We start from the raw sequence: 19078 nt of genomic DNA, 5'->3' as shown, positions 1-19078 counted from the left end.
ATTGCTGGTACAGTCATGTGCTGCATAACAACATTACAATCAGTAATGAACCATATATATGACAGTGGTCTCATAAGATTATTTATTTATTTATTTTTGAGATGAAGTCTCACCCTGTTGTCCAGGCTGGAGTGCAGTGGTGTGATCTCAGCTCACTGTAACCTCTGCCTACCAGGTTAAATTGATTCTCTTGCCTCAGCCTCCAAGCAGCTGAGATTACAGGTGCCTGCCACCATACCTGGCTAATTTTTGTATTTTTAGTAGAGACAGGGTTTCACAATACCACATTTTTACTGTACCTTTTATATGTTTATATATATTTAGATACACAAATATTTACCATTGTGTTACAGCTGGGGACAGTATTTAGTATAGTAACATGCTGTACATTTTTGTAGCCTAGGAGCAATGGGCTATACCACATGGCCTAGGTGTGGTAGACTGTCTAGGTTTGTGTAAATACTGTCTATGATGTTTACACTATGACAAAATCATCTAATGACACATTTCCCAGAATATATATCCATTGTTAAGTGATGCAAGACAGCTGACAGGAAGAAAATTGCTTTTTATGTTGACCTTTTATCCTGAAACTTTGAAAAATTTGCTTATTAGTAATAGTTTTATTTATATGGGGTAAAACTTAGGATTTACTCTGTACATGACCACATCATCTGCAAATAAAAACAAATTATCTTCTTCATTTATAATCTATAGGTTCTTTGTTTACTTTTCTTGCCTGATTGCACTGGTTAGGATCTCCAGCAGAATGTTCAATAGAACTAGTAAAAGTTATCATTCTTGTTTTGTTCCTGATTTTAAGGAAAAAGCAATTAAGTTTTTACCATTAAGTATGATGTTAGTGACTCTCTTTCTCAGTATCTTTTTAAGATTGAGGAAATTTGCCTCTATTTCCATTTTACTGAGACTTTTTATCCTGAATGACTACTGAAGTTTGTCAAAAATTTTCTGTATATATTGATATGATGGATCATTGTTCTTCTTTATTCTGTTAATGTGTTGAATTATATTAAATAACTTTCTAATGTAAAACCAATCTTGCATTTTTTTTTATATGGGGTCTCTGTCTGTCACCTAGGCTGAAGTGCAGTGGGGCAGTTATGGCTCACTGCAACCTCAACCTCTTGGACTCAAGTGATTGTCTACCTCAGCCTCCCAAGTTGCTGGGACTATAGGCATGTGCCAACATGCCTGGCTAATTTTTTAATTTTTTGTAGCTGCAGGGTCTTGCTATGTTGACCAGGTTGGTCTCAAACTCCTGAGTTCAAGTGATCCTCCCACCTTGGCCTCCTGAAGTGCTAGGATTACAGATGTGAGCCACCAAGCCTAGCCCAACTTTGCATTTCTGAAATATATCCCACTTGGCCATATTTTATTAGAGATTGCTGGATTTGATGTTCTAATATTTTGCTAAAGAATTTTACGTCTATACCAATGAGAGATATTGGTCTGTGGTGTTCTTTTCTTGAAATGTTTTTGTCAGGTTTTGGTATCAGAATAATACTGTCCTCATGAATGTCCCCTCCTTTTTTTTTCAGAGAGAGGCTGTGTAGGATTGATGTATTATTCCTTTTTCAGGTTGCTGATAAAAACATACATTGGGCAATTTACAAAAGAAAGATGTTTAATTGGACTTACAGTTCAATATGGCTGAGGAAGCCTCATGATCATGGCGGAAGGCGAGGAAGAGCAAGTCATGTCTTACATAGATGGTAGTAGGCAAAGAGAGAGAGCTTGTGCCGTGGAACTCCTCATGAGACTTACTCACTATCACGAGAACAGCATGGGAAAGACTTGCCCCCATGATTCAGTTACCTCCCACCGGGTCCCTCCCACAACACATGGGAATTCAAGATGAGATTTGGGTAAGGACACAGCCAAACCATATCATTCTGTCCCTGACTGCTCCCAAATCTCACATCCTCTCATTTCAAAACCAATCATGCTTTCCCAACAGTCCCCTAAAGTCTTAGCTCATTTCAGCATTAACTCAGAAGTCCACAGTCCACTCATCCAAGACAAGGCAAGTCCCTTCCACCTGAGTCTCTAAAATCAAAAGCAGGTCAGTTACTTCCTAGATACAGTGGGGGTACAGGCATTGGGTAAATACAGCCATTCCAAATGGGAGAAATTTGCCAAAACAAAGGGGCTACAGGCCCCATGCAAGTCCAAAATCCAGCAGGGCAGTAAAATCTTAAAGCTCCAAAATGATCTCCTTTGACTCCATGTCTCACATACAGGTAATGCAAGAGGTAGGTACTTAGCATTGAGCATAAGTACACTTTTGTGGCACCTGGGGTTGTATAATGTAAGCATCTAGGTCATGTTTTAAGCTTTAATTATAAATGCTTTCAATCCACAAGCTATTTTCTCTTCATAGCAAAATCTCCTTTGACTCCATGTCTCACATCCAGGTAACGATGATGCAAGAGCAGCTCTGCTCCTGTGGCTTTGCAGGGTACAGCCTCCCTCCTGGCTGCTTTCAGGGGCTGGTGTTAAGTGTCTGCAGCTTTTCCAGGTGCACAGTGAAAGCTGTCAGTGGATCTGCCATTCTCAGGTCTGGGGGACAGTGGCCCTCTTTTCACAGCTCCATTAGACAGTGCTCCAGTAGAGACTCTGTGTGGGGGCTCTGACCCCTCATTTCCCTTCCTCAGTGCCCTAGCAAAGGTTCTCCATGAGAGCCCCGCCCCTGCAGCAAACTTCTGCCTGGACATCGAGGCATTTCCATAGATCTTCTGAAATCTAGGCAGAGGCTCCCAAACCTCAGTTTTTGACTTCTGTGTGCTCACAGCCTCAACACCACGTGGAAGGTGCCAAGGCTTGGGGCTTGCACCCTCTGAAGCCATGGCCTGAGCTCTACATTGGCCCCTTTCAGCCACGGCTGGAGTGGCTGGGACACAGGGCACCAAGTCCCTAGGCTGCACTCAGCATGGGTACCCTGGGCCTGGCCCACAAAACCGCTTTTTCCTCCTAGGCCTCCTGGCCTGTGATGGGAGGGGCTGCCTCCCATCTGACATGCTCTGGAGACATTTTCACCATTGTCTTGGGGATTAACATTCAGCTCCTCATTACTTATGCAAATTTCTGTAGCTGGCTTGAATTTCTCCTCAGAAAATGGGATTTTCTTTTCTATCACATTGTCAGGCTGCAAATTTTCCAAACTTTTATGCTCTGCTTCCCTTATAAAAATGAGTGCTAGGCCTGGTATGGTGGTTTAACACCTGTAATCCCACCACTTTGGGAGGCCGAGGTGGGTGGATTACCTGAGGTCAGGAGTTCGAGACCAGCCTGACCAACATGGCAAAACCCCATCTCTACTAAAAATACAAAAAATTAGCCAGGTGTGGTGGTGGGTGCCTGTAATCCCAGCAACTTGGGAGGCTGGGGCAGGAGAATCACTTGAACCTGGGAGGCGGAGGTTGCAGTGAGCCAAGATCGTACCGTTGCACTCCAGCCTGGGTGACAAGAGCAAACCTCTCTCTCGAAAAGCAAACAAACAAAATACTGAATGCTTTCAACAGCACCCAAGTCACCTGTTGAATGCTTTGCTGCTTAGAAATTTCTTCCACCAAATACCCTAAATCAACTCTCTCAAGCTCAAAGTTAAATGAATTTCTAGGGCAGGGGCAAAATGCCACCAGTCTCTTTGCTAAAGCCTAACAAGAGTCACCTTTGCTCCACTTCCCAACAAGTTTCTCATCTCCATCTGAGTCCACCTCAGCCTAGACCTTATTGTTCATATCACTATCAGCATTTTTGTCAAAGCCATTCAACAAGTCTCTAGGAAGTTCCAAACTTTCCCACATTTTCCTATCATCTTCTAAGCCCTCCTAACTGTTCGAACCTCTGCCTGTTACCCAGTTCCAAAATTGCTTCCACATTTTTGGGTATCTTTTCAGCAGCGCCCCATTCTGCTGGTACCAGTTTACTGTATTAGTCCATTTTCATGCTGTTGATAAAGACATACCCGAGATTGAGCAATTTATAAAAGAAGGAGGCTTAATTGGACTTACAGTTCCACATGGCTGAGGAAGCCTCATGATCATGGCAGAAGGCAAGGAAGAGCAAGTCACGTCTTACATGAATGGCAGCAGGCAAAGGGAGAGAGCTTGTGCAGGGAACTCCTCTTTTTTAAACCATCATATCTTGTGAGACTTATTCACTAACATGAGAACACCACAGGGATGACTTGCTCCAGTGATTCAGTTACCTCCCACTGGGTCCCTCCCAGAACACATGGGAATTCAAGATGAGATTCGGGTGGGGACACAGCCAAACCATATCAATTGATAATATTTATTCCTTAAATGTTTTATATACTTTCCCAATAAAACTGTCTGGGCCTGAGAAGATTTTCTGTTATGAATTCAATATCTTTAATAGATAGAGGGAGCTATTCAGATGTTCTGTTTCTTCCTATGTCAGTTTTGGTAATTTTGTTCCTTATTTGTTTATGTCATCTAAGTTTTTTAACTTACAGGTATAAAGTTGTTCACATTATTTTCTTGTTATGGTTTTAATTTCTATAGAACATTTAATGATATCTCCTTTTTTATTCCTGATATTGGTAATTTATGTCTTTCTTCTTTTATTCTTAATTAGTTTAGCTAGAGGTTTAGTTTACTGATCTTTTTAAAAAACGTTTGTTCTTATTGATTTTCTTCTATCGATTGATTTCTATTTTACTGATTTTTACACTTTTAATATTTTCTTCATTTTTTCCTGTTTTTTTTTTCTAGCCCCTTCTTAGTTCTATTATATGAAAGATTCTTAGATTAGATTCCTCAGCTTTTCTATTGAAGTTTTCATTTTGACAATCATATGGTAATTTCCAAGAACTCTTTCTGGCTTTCAATTGTTCCTTTTCTGTGAGTGTCTGCTCTTGTTGTATGAATACAGGATTTTCTTAGTTCTCCCTGAGGCTGCTGTCCTTTTTTTAAAAAAAACCCTCTCTCCTGTTCTCAGAATTATCTGTTTCATCTGGATTCATTTTCTTCTTTTTTGCCATGGGGTATATGTGCATAGCTGTGTGTCTGTCTGATTTTCTTCATGAAGACTTTTCTCAAGTGTTTGGTGAGTCTTGGCTATCTGTTCATATTGAGAATTAGCCAGTAGCATGGCTGGCTCAGGCCTTCATGATATGGGTGAGGTTTTCCAAGAGGCAAAGACTTTGCTTTATGATAGAAGACAAAGGGGAGAGGGGGAGGGTGCAGAATACACTGCCCATCCCCCAATGCCAGAATGTGGAAGGTGTTTTGAGCTCCCTTAGTCCTCCTACCTTCCACCCCAAGAAAGTTCACTTAATTTGTTTAGTAAAGATCTATTTTGTGTGTGCATGTGTGGCACATGTATGTATGCATCTGAGAGTTACTTAGCTGCAGCCATTTGCACATAGGATTATAGGGAGAGATGAACTTCCATATCACTCTTCCTACCATTATGAGGGCATTGTCCAGGTACAAAGCCTTTCCAAGGCTTTGCTGTACTGGTTGGCTTTTTCCATAGCCAAAGCCTGCCTCCATCTGGGTTCTAGGCTGTAATTTTCTACACTCAGTTTTATCATGCTATACTCTTTGATTTATTTTCTGATTTCCAGAAATTTACAGACTTTTCCTATGTGCTGATGGCCTTCTTCCCATTTCCCTCATTATTATGGATGCCTTTTTGTTTCTTTGCTGTTCTTTTGATGATCTCTCCAAATGGATATGAGAGATAAATGGAAATCTTCAACCTCCCATCTAAACCAATGCATAGCATTCTTTTTAACTTCTTTATATAGTAGTTTATAATTTTCCTGATTCCTAATCCCATGCTGCCATTTACTGGTTTGTGACCCTGAGTAACTTGTTTAACTTCTCTGTGCCTGTTTTTTAAAATAGAGATAACAGTAGTACCAACTATGTAGTTCCACCATGATGGTGGAAGTGTTAAAACTAACCCACCAGCCTGGAGCTCAGTCCCTCCTTCCATGGGCGAGCCCTCACTAACTCCTACCATCTGAGGCCCAAAAAGCACTTTCCCCCTTGAATGGTTGGAGGCCTGAGCAGAAGCTCCAGACAGGCACTGGCAGGAAGCACTCACTAGCTCTGGGCCAGTGGGAAGCACCTTCCTCAGGAGGGTCCCACTGAGAAACTGGCAGCTCCATCATGCCTCTTAGCCATGTCACCTCTTGGCCATGTTCTCCTCACTCCGCACTTGGACCTTCCTCTCCACAAGTCATTCTTCTACTGGCAGATATTTCTGTGAGACCTCTGAAACCTTGTTTCATTGCCAGCAAGCCCTCCCTCACCCTTAGCCTCTTCACAGAAGACTATCTGTGGCCCTCTCTCTGATAATACCACCTTGTTTGTTACTTACTGAATTGGATGATGCTCAATTTGGTTATCCTCCATTTACTAGGGAAGTGCATCAGGTAGAAATGGAATCTGAGCACTGACTGGTCCTTTTCCTTCAACAACACCGAATCCTGGAGCAAGTTGTGGCTACCGAAAGAAGAGAACAAAAGATAAAAACAACTTAGTGGCAGGAGGTGGGGTGGTGGTGGTTGGACAGAAAGTGAGTCAGGAAAAAAAAATTGAGAAGTGCCACCCTATGATAGTGACACATGCAGCTAGCTATTGCTCTTAGAGCCCACCTAATGGCATTAAACAGTGCTGCCTTTCTCTTCTCATATATTTATGTTCCACCTGGTTACACATAACTCAAGGGGCTCAGAGACTTTGTTTTACTGTTGTAGAGACATTGATTTGGAAGCTCGTGGCGTATAAGAAATAGGTTTAATCATCATCCTCAGCAAACTAACACAGGAACAGAAAACCAAACACCACATATTCTCACTCATAAGTGGGAGCTGAACAATGAGAACACATGGACACAGGGAGGGGAATATCACACACCCGGGCCTGTCCAGGGGTAGGGGGAAAGGGGAGGGAGAGCGTTAGGACAAATCCCTAATGTATGCAGAGCTTAAAACCTAGATCACGAGTTGATAGGTGCAGCAAACCACCATGGCACATGTATACCTATATAACAAACCTGCACGTTCAGCACATGTATCCCAGAACTTAAAGTAAAAAAGAGAAAAAAGAAGTCGGTTTAAGCCTAATGGGAGATTGAAAGCTCTCTGCATTTCTTGTCTATGGTGTCTTCATTTGATGTTAATAGGAATTTGTAATGCATAAGAGAATTCCTGTAGAAATATTTCCTATGTAGAAATATTTTCAGAATATTTTATTGTTATGGTAAGTAAAAGGAGGATGTGGAGGAATTTGATGGAGCAAATCAAATTATTTCAGCTTAAATTTAAAAACTTTGCAGGGCAAGGTGGTCTTATTGCTAGAAACATCCTTCCAAGAAGGAAAAAACAGGTATCCTGGATTCTTTGTGAAACTTCTTCTTAGAACAGATTTTTATAAAGTGTGTCTGTCTTTAAGGAGATTCATCTGTGGGGTGCTATAAGGATCTTATTGCACAGTGGTCTCCATTGCAGGGGGTCTCTTGACTAGGACTCCGGGGTCAGCATTTATAACAAGCCTTCAGGGTTTTAATAATTTTTACAAATGACAAAGATTATATATAGCACAGTGGGGATATATTGTCATCTCCCCTTTTATAGGTTAACAAGCTAGGAACAAAATGAGAGTTCTGACTCCTTTTCCAATATGTGGTTGTCTACTGTCTTTGTTGCCTGGAGCTCAGTGTCACTCAATGAAAGGGAGACAAAGAAACTTAAGTGATTATTCCAAGATCCCACACAAACTCCTATAGGAATAGGAACAGGGTAGGGGGTGGGGGATGGGTTGGGGGCCTTGCATCTTGGTTGATCAGACTACAAGCTCCTCAAGCCCCAGGTACACCACTGCAGAACTCTCCATGTTGCACTGAGCATTTCAAGTGGCAGCTCCTCAGAACACATTAGTTAATTTGATTTCCACCTGGTACTGATCTCCTCCTTGCAGTTCATTTTATTTTAGAAAGTAATTTGTAGTTTAGAGATGGCAAGCAAAAAGCTTGTAATGAATTAGGAGTCTATAGGAAACATACATGTATTCTAAAGTAAAGCAGGTTTGGCTCTGTGTTCCCACCCAAATCTCATCTTGAATTGTAATTCCCACATATTGAGGGAGGGACCCGTGATCCCCACATGTTGAGGGAGGGAGGTGATTGAATCATGGGGGTGGTTTCCCCCATACTGTTCTCATGATAGTGAGTGAGTTCTCATGAGATCTGGTGGTTTTTATAAGTGTTTCAATAGTTCCTCTCTTGCTCCCTTCTCTCTCCTGCTGCCTTCTGAAAAAGGTGCTTGCTTCCTCTTCACCTTCTGCCACGATTGTAAGTTTCCTGAGGCCTCCCCAGCCATGCAGAACTGTGAGTCAGTTAAACCTCTTTCCTTTGTAAATTACCCAGTCTCAGGGAAGTTCTTCATAGCAGTGTGAAAATGGACTAATACAAGCATGTTTCTGCAGCAGGTTATTAACTGTCAGGGTTAACTTTGATATGTGTATTTAGCAATCTGCTAAGAGGCATTTTGTGTGCCAAGTTATTAACCACAGTGTCAAGTTCAATACCAAAGGAGTCTTTTTTATCTAGTTTCCTCCCTGACTTTATTTCAAAGCATAATCAAAGCTTTATTCTTCATTAGATTTAGTATTAGCTAATTTAGTTTTTGGCAATTTTTATTCTGGTTTCTGTTATATACCATTCATAAATTGAAATGATTGTGCCAAAACATGTTAAGTTTATAGAATGGTAATGTACTGTTGGGTGCATTGTCATGGCACATTATAGATGGCTCTGGAGCAAGATTTACAAGTAACAAATACAAGAAAGTTGTAAGTATGAAAAATCCGTACTTACTGTGTTTCACTCATAAGAACACTGCTATCCACTTTTCCCATGACCACTACCGCCTCAATTACACAAAATTAAAATGATCCTACTCTTTGCTTCATGTCGCAGACACCTTTGTAATTGTATTAATTCCTGCATCTGTGACCCTCCCTTTTGTAGGCACCAATGGTATATTTGATATATGTCCTTCCCTTCCACCTTTCACTTATTTAAATTATGGTGTTTGTGTGTGTTGTAATTAATGAGCATGGCTTTGGGCTCTGAATCTCTAATTCTTTTTCACTCAGTGTTTATGATATCTGTCTATGTGGCTATGTATGAATTTGGTTCATTGCTTCTGACTGCTACGTAGATATCCATCTTCTGAATACACCAAAGTTTTCTTATCCATTTTCCTACCGATGGACAACTCTTTGCTTCTAAAGCCAGAGCTACATAAGGATGCACAGCGTTGTGTTTGCTTCTTTGTGGATGTGTGCAAGAGCTTACCTCAGAGCACAGGTGAAGAAAATGCCCAGGTTTAGCAGATTTTTAGCACCTTTAAGGCAAAACTCAGTGCCATCAGTATAATATAGGACTTCTGGAGCTTTAAAATATATACATTTTGTATAAAAGGTGACACTCAAAAATGCAGCTGAGAGTATCATTAATTATACACTGCAGTGTCTGAAGATTCTATTTTTGTAGCGTCCTTTTCCTTTCCTCCTAATGACTGTGCAGGTGTTGGTGACCGCCGTACCTGCTCACCTGCTGAGCCCAGGTTCCCAGGGTGGGAGCCAGCCCAAGTTATTTGAGGAGTAGGCAAATGTAGCATGTCAATTTCTATTTAAAGAAATTATTTCATCACCTAGTAGGTGCTTAAATGTTTTTTAATGTTACTCTTTTTGCTTTTCTTTATCCCATCGTAAATTAGAGTTAACGCAAGTCTTTGCTCCTGTTGTTTATTGAACTTGCTGTAGAATAGCAGTGCTGGAATATGTTACTCTAACAAGTAAATACTGCGTCATGTACCACAGGATATTATAATTTATTTTTATATATCTTTATATATTCATCTTTGTGTCAGAATCTGTTGGAAAAAAAAAAGGTTTGTAACCAATGTTTGTTTGACTGATGGTGTTTGGAAAAATTTTAAGTGTAGTTTATTCAGAAACCCTGAGGAAAAGATCACACATGCAGCCCAGCCCAGTGAAGTTTTGAGAGGGGTTCTTAGGGTGGTGAAAGGAGAAATAATCAACCAGTCAGAACAATTAAATTAGCTGGCCCCAGAAAGGATCTGTGAGATGGAAGACTGCCCTCCTATCCTGCTAACTAGTTGATTTACAGTACCTAGCCTGGCTTACCCCAGGTCATTTCCCCCCATTCCTCAAGGACTTAAGGGCCTGACTCACCCCCTCTCTCTGCAGAACCTCTCTAATACACGTACCTGTCACTCCTTCCACATCCATGGCTGCTGACATCCTTGACCTCTCCTCCACTGACCTGTCTTCCTTCTGATCTCAGCCTCCCACCTCCACAGTCATACCTCTGACTCATGGCCTGCCTCACTTTAGATTCCTAATCACTGACCTCAAATAGCCCTCAATGCTGCTTGGCATGCATGTGTATTTCCATGGTCATTCTCTCTCCTGCCCTTCCACATGACTGTTTCATGCCTTCTCCTCCCTCAGTCCTCCAGTGCCTCCTTCCCTCCCTTGCTCTTGGCTCATGACCTTGCTTCCTACCTCACTGAGAAAATGGGCGCACTACATGAAAACTCCCGCCAGCTACACCACTTGCATGCATTTGTGCCCATGTATTTGACTTTTTCTCCTGTCACTGCAGATGGCCCACATCTGCGCCCCATGAGGGACACCTCCACACTCAGGGGCTGGATTCTATTCTCTCACATGTCTCCAGCACAGGCTCCAGGAGACTCCCTCACTCTCACTTGCATTGTCTTTTTCCCTTTCTATAGGATCATCCTCATCGGTGCATAAACATGCTGTTATTTCTTCTACCCTGGCCTTACATTTCCCTCTAATTACTGCCTCATTTGTCTTTAAACAAAACTTGTGTAAATTGTTCATGCTTACTGTCTCCAGTTCTTCTTCTTTCATATTATTTTGAACCATTAGTCCACCAAGACACCACTTCTGAAGGTCTCTGGTGATCAGCACCTTGCTAATGCCATGGTCCTTTCTCAGGCCTCACCTTACCTGACTCCTCTCTCCTGGAAACACTGTTTTCATTTGATTTTCAGGTCCCTACATCACTTGCTTTTCCTCCTGCCTTTCTGACCACTCTTCTTTAGTATCTCTTCCTCCTTCCCTCCCTCCATGTCTCCTCCCCTCCATTTCTCTCTTCCTCTCTCCCTTTTTTTGTGTGTGTTTTGTTGTGTGTGCTTCTTGCCCACTCTCTCTGATGGCCAGACAGTCTTGGGCTCTGTTCTTGGGCCACCCTTCTGCTTTTGTCTGGTCTCAACACAGCAGCCACAGTGGTTTTGTTAATAACCTTACACATCACTTCTCCATCCAGAAACCTCCAGCAGGTTCCCATCTGATTTAAAATAAAAGTCAATGTCCTCACTATGACTTTTGAAACCCTATAGAATCAGGCCCATGATTATCTCTCTGCCCTTATCATCAACTCCTCTCAACGTTCTTGCAATCCATTCCAGACACACAGGCCTTCCTCTGTGTTCCTTGAACAGCCAGGCTACTGCCTCAGGGCCTTTACATTTGCCTTTCCCCTGACCCAACATGCTTTTCCCCCAGAAGAAAGCCTGCCCAGCTTCCTTCCTTCAGGTCTTTATTGAGAGTCACCTTCCCCTGGCTATCCTGTCTACATTTTAGTCCTACTACCAAAACTTCCTCTTCTTTGTTTCATAAACTATGTATGTTACTTATGAATAGTTTAATTATATGTCTTCTCTAAAAAGGTAAGCTCCAGCTGTGCTTTAGTTCCAATCTACAGCACCTAGAGAGTGTCTGGTATGTGGTAGTTGCCTACTGAGCATTTGATGAATGAATGCATATAAGCAGACACCTTAAGAAGGATACAATATGTAATACCGGCATAAGGACAGACTTATAGACCAATGTAATAGAATTGAGAGGCCAGAAATAAACTCTCACATATAGTGTTCAACAAGGGTGTCAAGATAATTGAATGAGGAAAGAATAATCTTTTCAGCACATGGTGCTGGGACAACTGGATAGCCATATGCAAACAAATGAAATTGGATCCCTACCCCACACTATATGCAAAAAATAACTCAAAATAGATCAAAGACCTAAGTATAAGCCAAGACTAGAAAACTCTTAAGAAGAAACAAGGATGTAAATCTTTGTGATTTTGAATTAAACAGTGGTTCTTAGATATGACACCAAAAGCACAAGCAATAAAAGAAAAAGAAGATAGGCCAGGTGCGGTGGCTCATGCCTGTAATCCCAGCACTTTGGGAGGCCGAGGTGGGCATATCATGAGGTCAGGAGATCGAGACCATCCTGGCTAACACAGTGAAACCCCGTCTGTACTAAAAATACGGAAAATTAGCCGGGCACAGTGGCGGGTGCCTGTAGTCCCAGCTACTTGGGAGGCTGAGGCAGAACAATGACGTGAACCTGGGTGGTGGAGCTTGCAAGTGAGCCAAGATCACGCCACTGCACTCCAGCCTGGGAGACAGAGCGAGACTCCGTCTCAAAAAAAAAAAAAAAAAGGGGGAAAAGAAGATAAACTGGGCTTCATCAAAACTGAAACCTTTTGTGCTTCGAAGGACACCACAGAAAGGTTGCAGATATTTGCAAATCACATATCTGAGAAGGAACTTGTATCTAGAATAATTAAAGAACTATTAAAACTCACAATTAACCCAATTAAAAAATGGGCAAAGGATCCGAATAGACATTTCTACAAAGAAGATTTTTTAAGTGGCCAGCAAGCACATGGAAAGATATTTACATCATTAGCCATCAGGGAACTACAGATCAAATCCACTATAAGATAATACTTTATACTCATTAGCATAGATATAAACAAAAAGGCAAATAATAACAACAAGATTTGGTGAGGATGTAGAGCAACTGAAACCCTTGTACACTGCTGGTGGGAATGTGAAATGGTACAGCCACTGTGGAAAATGGTTTAGCAGTTCCACTAAATGTTAACCATAGAGTTACTATGCGATCCAGCAGTTCCACTCCTAGGTATATACCCAAGTGAAATTAAAACACATGTCTGCACAAAAACTTGCACATTAATATTCATAGCAGCATTATTCGTGATAGCCTCAAATGGAAACAACCCAAATGTCCACCAACTGATGAATGGATAAATGAAATGTGGTTTATTTATACAATAGAATATTATTAGGCAATAAAAAGAAATGAACTAGTAATACATGCCACAACATGGATGAAACTTGAAAACACTGTGCTAAGTGAAGGAAGCCCATCACAAAGGACCACATACTGTATGATTCCATTTATGTGGAATTTCCAGAATAACTACTTTAATACAGAAAGTAGACTGGTGGTTGCCTACGGGAGATAAGGGATTGGAAAATGACCATTAAGGGGCATAGGCTTTTTGGAGGGTGCAAGGAAAATGTCCTAAAATGTATTGTGGTGATAGTTGCACAAACTCTGAGTATACTAGAAGGTATTGAATTATATACTTTCATTGGGAGAATTCTATGGTATGTGAATCAATAAAGTGTTGTTGGTTTTTTTAAAAACAAGAATACATTTACAAGCCTAGAGAGTGTTCTAATTCTTTTAGAATTGATCTACATTGGTATCCAAGAAGATTAAATAAATAAATAAGTTAGAATTGTTCTATGGCCTATTTTATTAGTAACTAATCTTTAGCCTTTGAGGGTAGATTTGACTTTAGAATAGCCAAAAATAATTTAATACCAAATCTTGGGAGTTTATCGGTAGCCAAACTGCCTCATACAGTTGGGAGTAGAAAACCAACAACAGAAAGCCATTTTCACTTACTCACTGTGACTAGATAGATATCTAAGAGTTCCAAAAATCTTTTGTGACTTTGCAATTCCATTTCCCTAGAGTAAGCATAGAGCCTCTCAAACTCAATGCTAAGTGAACCACAGTTATTTGAATGTGTAAGTTCTTGGGTGTTCTTTAAACTTCATTTACATTACTTTATAGTCTTATCTAAGCGTATTTGGACTCCTCAGCTAAATTGCACCTTGTGTGCAAAAAAATTGTCTTGTATTTCTTTTGCAAATCCTCCTACCCACCCCCTAATCCCCACCCTTCATCCCTAACCACCACCACCTAGACAAAGCCATAAAAAAGGTGATTTAAAATCCTCATTTTAAAATTGATTACTGTCACAGGTCAGGTTTCCCAGCAACCAAACTCTGAGATGGAGACTAGTGTGCAGGACTTTCGTTAGAGAAAGCTCTTGAGAATCAACACTTGAAAGGGATGGGAAAGGAAGCCGATTGAACAGAGGGAGAAGTTGGGCAACAACGCCTCAGCTGATTTCATAGGGAGCTCTGAAGCTGGAATGGCCAGGTTATTATTTTCCATCCCGATAGACTAGTCGGTGGGTACAGCAGCCTCAGGAGACAGAGGCGAGTGTGGTCAAGGTGGCTCTCTTCAGCTCAGGTGTGTCTTCTAGTAGCCCTTGCAGCAGCTGGGAGAATAATTCCTTCAGTTCTGATGGGACATCTCGGCAGCATGTCCCAGCATTCTCTGAAGTTCCCTTATACTCTGAGTGTTGCCTCTCTCAAGGTCCAACTCCTTAAGCAACTGTTCCTGCAAGGATGTGCTTAGGGACCATGATTCAAAGTAATCTCGACATTATAAACTTCAGATATGTGCTGTGATATACTTTGAAAATAGGGAGTTTCTTCTAATCAGATTGGCATTAACTTTATGACTATGTAAGGTATCAGTGCTGTATTATAAAGCCTAAGCAACAGAAAAAAATGCCTGGACTTGGCAGATACCTAATCCATTTATAGAAATTCATCTGTGAATGGATTAGAAGCTTAAGGAACTTATGACCAAAATGCAGTTTTTCAGGACTCTGCCAAAGTTTGAAGGAAGTACTTTTTGAACTGTAATCTGTTACATTACAAAAAGATGACATAAATGTTCTCATCAATATTTTCCAGAGTGCAGGGTACCTTTCTTATGGCTTTAGTTCACGTGGACTTGAATATCATATTCAGGAATCTTATTTCAGGTTTGTCACTTGATTTATAAAAGTGTGTGGCAAATGACAGTTATTGACATATGATTTCCTTATCATAACCAGGGAATTATCTGAGACATATAATTCTGGCATAGGTGAAAAGCTAGATATGTAATTTTTCTTTTTTTGAGATGGAATTTCACTCTTGTTGTCCAGGCTGGAGTGCAATGGCACCATCTCAGCTCGCTGCAACCTCCGCCTCCTGGGTTCAAGCAATTCTCTTGCCTCAGCGTCCCGAGTAGCTGGGATTACAGGTGTCCGCCACCATGCCTGGCTAATTTTTGTATTTTTAGTAGAGATAGGGTCTCACTATGTTGCCCAGGCTGGTCTCAAACTCCTGACCTCAGGTCTTCTGCCCACCTCGCCCTCCCAAAGTGCTGAGATTACAGGCATGAGCCACTGTGCCTGGCTGATATATAATTTTTCACAGCCGTCAGGGCTCAGATTTTTCATGCTGTAAATTATATTCATATTTTTTCTACTTTATTCCAGAAAAAAAATTCAAATATTTTTCCACTTTATTCTAAAAACAATGGCAGAAACTAGTAGAATAAAAGTCAACTGCTTACCCATATACCTGCAGTGAACATTTGGAATTTGAAATTAAAAACATAATACCATTTACATTAGCTCCAAAAAAATGCAGTACTTAGGTGTAAATCTAAAAAGAAATGTACAAATATAGATGAGAAAAACTGCTAAACTCTACTGACAGAAATCAAAGAAAATATAAATAAATGGAGAGATATCCCATGTTTATGGATGGGAGGATTCTCTATTAAGATGTCAGTTTTTCTCAACTTGATGTGTACATTGAACACAATCTCCATCAAAATCCAAGCAAGTTATTTTATGTATATTGACAGACTGATTCTATTGTTTATGTGGAGTGGCAAAAGACCCAAAATAGCCAACACAATGCTGAAGAAAAACAAAGAGGACTGGCACTAACCAACTTCGAAACTTGCTGTAAAGCTACAGTAATGAAGACATTGTGGTATTGGTGAAAGAATAGACAAATAAATAAATGGAACAAAACAGCCCCAAAATAGATCTACTATTGGCAAAGGCAATTCAATGGAGAAAGGATAGTCCTTTCAACAAAGGGTGCTGTAACAACTGGACATCACATACAAAAAAAAAAAAAAAAAAAAGAATCTAGATAGGGACCTTATACCTTTAACAAAAATTAATCCCAAATGGATCAGAAACCTAAATGTAAAACACAAAACTATAAAACTTCTGGAAGATAAGAGAAAATCTGGGTGTTCTAGGGTTTAGTAATTAATTACTTTTTAAATTCAGTTCCAAAAGCTTGAAAGAAATAATTTATAAGTTAAACTTCTTCAAAATTAAAAAGTTATTCTCTGCAAAAGAGAATGAAAAAAGCCAAAAACTGGGAGAAAATATTTGCAAAATACGTAAATGATAAAGGATTTGTATCCAAAATATACAAAAAAAACTCTTGAAACTCAACAATGAGAAAACAACCCAGCCAGGCATGGTGGCTCACGCCTGTAATCCCAACATTTTGGGAGGCCAAGGTGGGTGGATCACTTGAGGTCAGGAGATAGAGACCATCCTGGCTAACACGGTGAAACCCAGTCTCTATTAAAAATACAAAACTTAGGCAGTCATGGCATGGTGGCGGGTACCTGTAATCTCAGCTACTAAGGAGGCTGAGGCAGGAGAATCACTTGAACCCGGGAGGCAGAAGTTGCAATGAGCCGAGATCGCACCACTGCGCTCCAGCCTGGGTGACAGAACAAGACTCTGTCTCCAAAAAAAAAAAAAAAGAAAGAAAGAAAGAAAGAAAGAAAACAATCCATAAACAAACAATCCAATAGCTCAGTCATTGCTGTGCAAATGCAAAATGGTACAGCCACTTTGGAGGACAGTTTGGCAGTTTCTTAGAAAACTAAGCATACTTTTACCATATGATTTAGCAGCCATGCTCCTTGGTATTTACCCAAATGGGTTGAAAACTTATGTCCATACACAAACCTGCAGATGGATGTTTATAGCAGCTTTATTCATGATTGTCCAAACTTCGGAGCAACCAAGATGTCCTTCGGTAGATGATTGGATAAAATTATGTTGTACATCTATATGAGGGAATAATAATCACTGTTAAGAAGAAATGAGCTATCAAGCCATGAAAAGACATGGAGGGACCTTAAATGCCTGTTCCTAAGTGGAAGAAGTCAGTCTGAAAAGGCTATATACTGTATGATTCCAAATATATAACACTTTAGAAAAGACAAAACTATAGAGACAGTAAAAAGATCAGTGGCAGCTGGGAGTTGAGGGGGAGGGAAGAGATGCAAGGGAGGAAGTGTGGAATGAATAAGTGAACCACAGGGGTTTTTAGGGCAGTAAAACTATCATGTATGATACTGTAATGGTGGATACATGACATGATGTATGTCTCAGCTCAGGCTGCTATAACAGAATACCAGACCAAGTGGCCTAAATGGCATTTATTTTTCATGCTTCCGGAAGTTGAGAAGTCCAAGATTAAGATGCTGGCAGATTTGATTCTTAGGCCTTCTTGAATCCTCATGTGGTAGACAGAGGAAGCTCTAGGTCTGTCTTCCATTTCTTATCTGGGCACTATCCCATCATTGTCGCTCCATCCTTATGACCTTGTCTAAACCTAATTACCTCCCTAGCACCCTACTTCCTAAAACCATCGTGTTGGAGGTTAGCACTTCAAAATGTGAATTTGTGGGGACACAGAAATTCAAGCCATAACAATGCATTTGTGAAAACCTGTATAGTGAACCCTAATGTAAACTATGGGCCTTGGTTGATAATAAAGTATCAGTATTGGTACATCAATTGTAGCAGATGAACAATACAAATGTTAGACCTTAATAATAGGGGAAACTGGGAGAATGACAGGTATACAGCAACTCTCTACTTTCTGTGTAGTTTTTCTACAAAACTAAAACTGCTTTAAAAATAAAATCTCAATAAAAAATAGTAGAACTTCATTAGAATTTAACATGTTCTAATATATAGATCCAATTTAAGCCAAAAAATGAGTTATTTGTACTTGTACAGAACTGGAATCAGTGTCTTTCTTCTTCTTTCTTCCCTTTTCTCCAATCCCTCAACCTTCTCAAATGCTTTTCATTATGAACAGAAAGTTTACAAAAAAAGCAAAATGCAAATGGCGGTTAAGTGTGTGAATAGGTGCTCAACATCATTCAGAGTAAGATAGGCAAGTGGAAACTAAACTGAAACACCTATTGTCACCTTATCAGATTGGCAGAAATCCACCAGAGGGATATCACCTTGGGTCGACAAGGCTGTGGAGGACCAGGGAGTCTCATATTCAGCTGTTGATTGTACATGCGTGCTTAATACCATGTACGGAACAATTTGACAGAATCTACTTATATTACAACTGTGTATATCCTTTGACCGAGCAGTTCTGTCTTTGGGAATGTATTCCACAAATATACTTGCCTGTGCACAAAATGACAAATGTTGGAGGAAATTTATTGCAGCACCCTTACTAATAACAAAAATATTGGAAATAGTGTAAATGTCCATCACTGGTCGATAAAGTATGGGTGCTGTCTAGGTACTAATATGGAAAGATCTCTAATATTAGGAAATACAAAAAAGGAAAATGCTGAACAGTATTTCTGTATGCTCCTTTTATATAAACATGGAGAAAATATTAATATATTCTGATTGTACATGTGGGCAGGAGGCACAGTGGGGCATTGGGAAGATGAGGGCAGGGGTAGGGGTATCACTTTATACCTTTTTTCCTAACCATGTGACTGTATTACCTTCAAACTATAGTTCAAAAAGATATAGGTATATACATTTTTTAATAATAAATTCAGAATAGCTAGGATAAATCGCTTTTGCTGTTGTTAAACCTTAAAAATTATTTTTATCTACCTATGAATATTCATCTTCCCTCGAGTGTTTTCGGTATGGCAAGTTCTGAGTTGTTAAAATTGATTGTTATTGTCAC

The 19078-nt window shown here is 40.2% G+C and overlaps 1 protein-coding gene across 15 annotated transcripts in view, besides 2 other annotated features; it reads left to right on the top strand.

The window, feature by feature from the left end:
- The window catches only part of ANO10 (anoctamin 10), a 325747-nt gene that overhangs the window by 225844 nt on the left and 80825 nt on the right, over nucleotides 1-19078 (top strand). The gene's annotated exons all lie outside the window — the stretch shown is intronic.
- Nucleotides 9469-10668: an enhancer, noted in NCBI's record as "P300/CBP strongly-dependent group 1 enhancer chr3:43496575-43497774 (GRCh37/hg19 assembly coordinates)". NCBI's record gives its function as "activates an origin of replication core promoter dependent on BRD2, BRD4, P300/CBP, MED14 and CDK7 cofactors, with strong dependence on P300/CBP, by STARR-seq in HCT116 cells {active_cell/tissue: HCT116}" and the evidence as "EXISTENCE:reporter gene assay evidence [ECO:0000049][PMID:35650434]".
- Nucleotides 10300-10594: an enhancer, noted in NCBI's record as "tiled region #3370; HepG2 Activating DNase matched - State 9:DNaseU, and K562 Activating DNase unmatched - State 8:EnhW". NCBI's record gives its function as "activates a minimal TATA promoter and a strong SV40 promoter by Sharpr-MPRA in HepG2 cells, with weak activation in K562 cells {active_cell/tissue: HepG2 | K562}" and the evidence as "EXISTENCE:reporter gene assay evidence [ECO:0000049][PMID:27701403]".

The sequence above is a fragment of the Homo sapiens genome, chromosome 3 (genome assembly GCF_000001405.40).
Source record: "Homo sapiens chromosome 3, GRCh38.p14 Primary Assembly".
NCBI lineage: Eukaryota > Metazoa > Chordata > Mammalia > Primates > Hominidae > Homo > Homo sapiens.
Note: the sequence above shows the minus strand (reverse complement) of the source record. Positions and strands in the feature narration are given on the sequence as shown.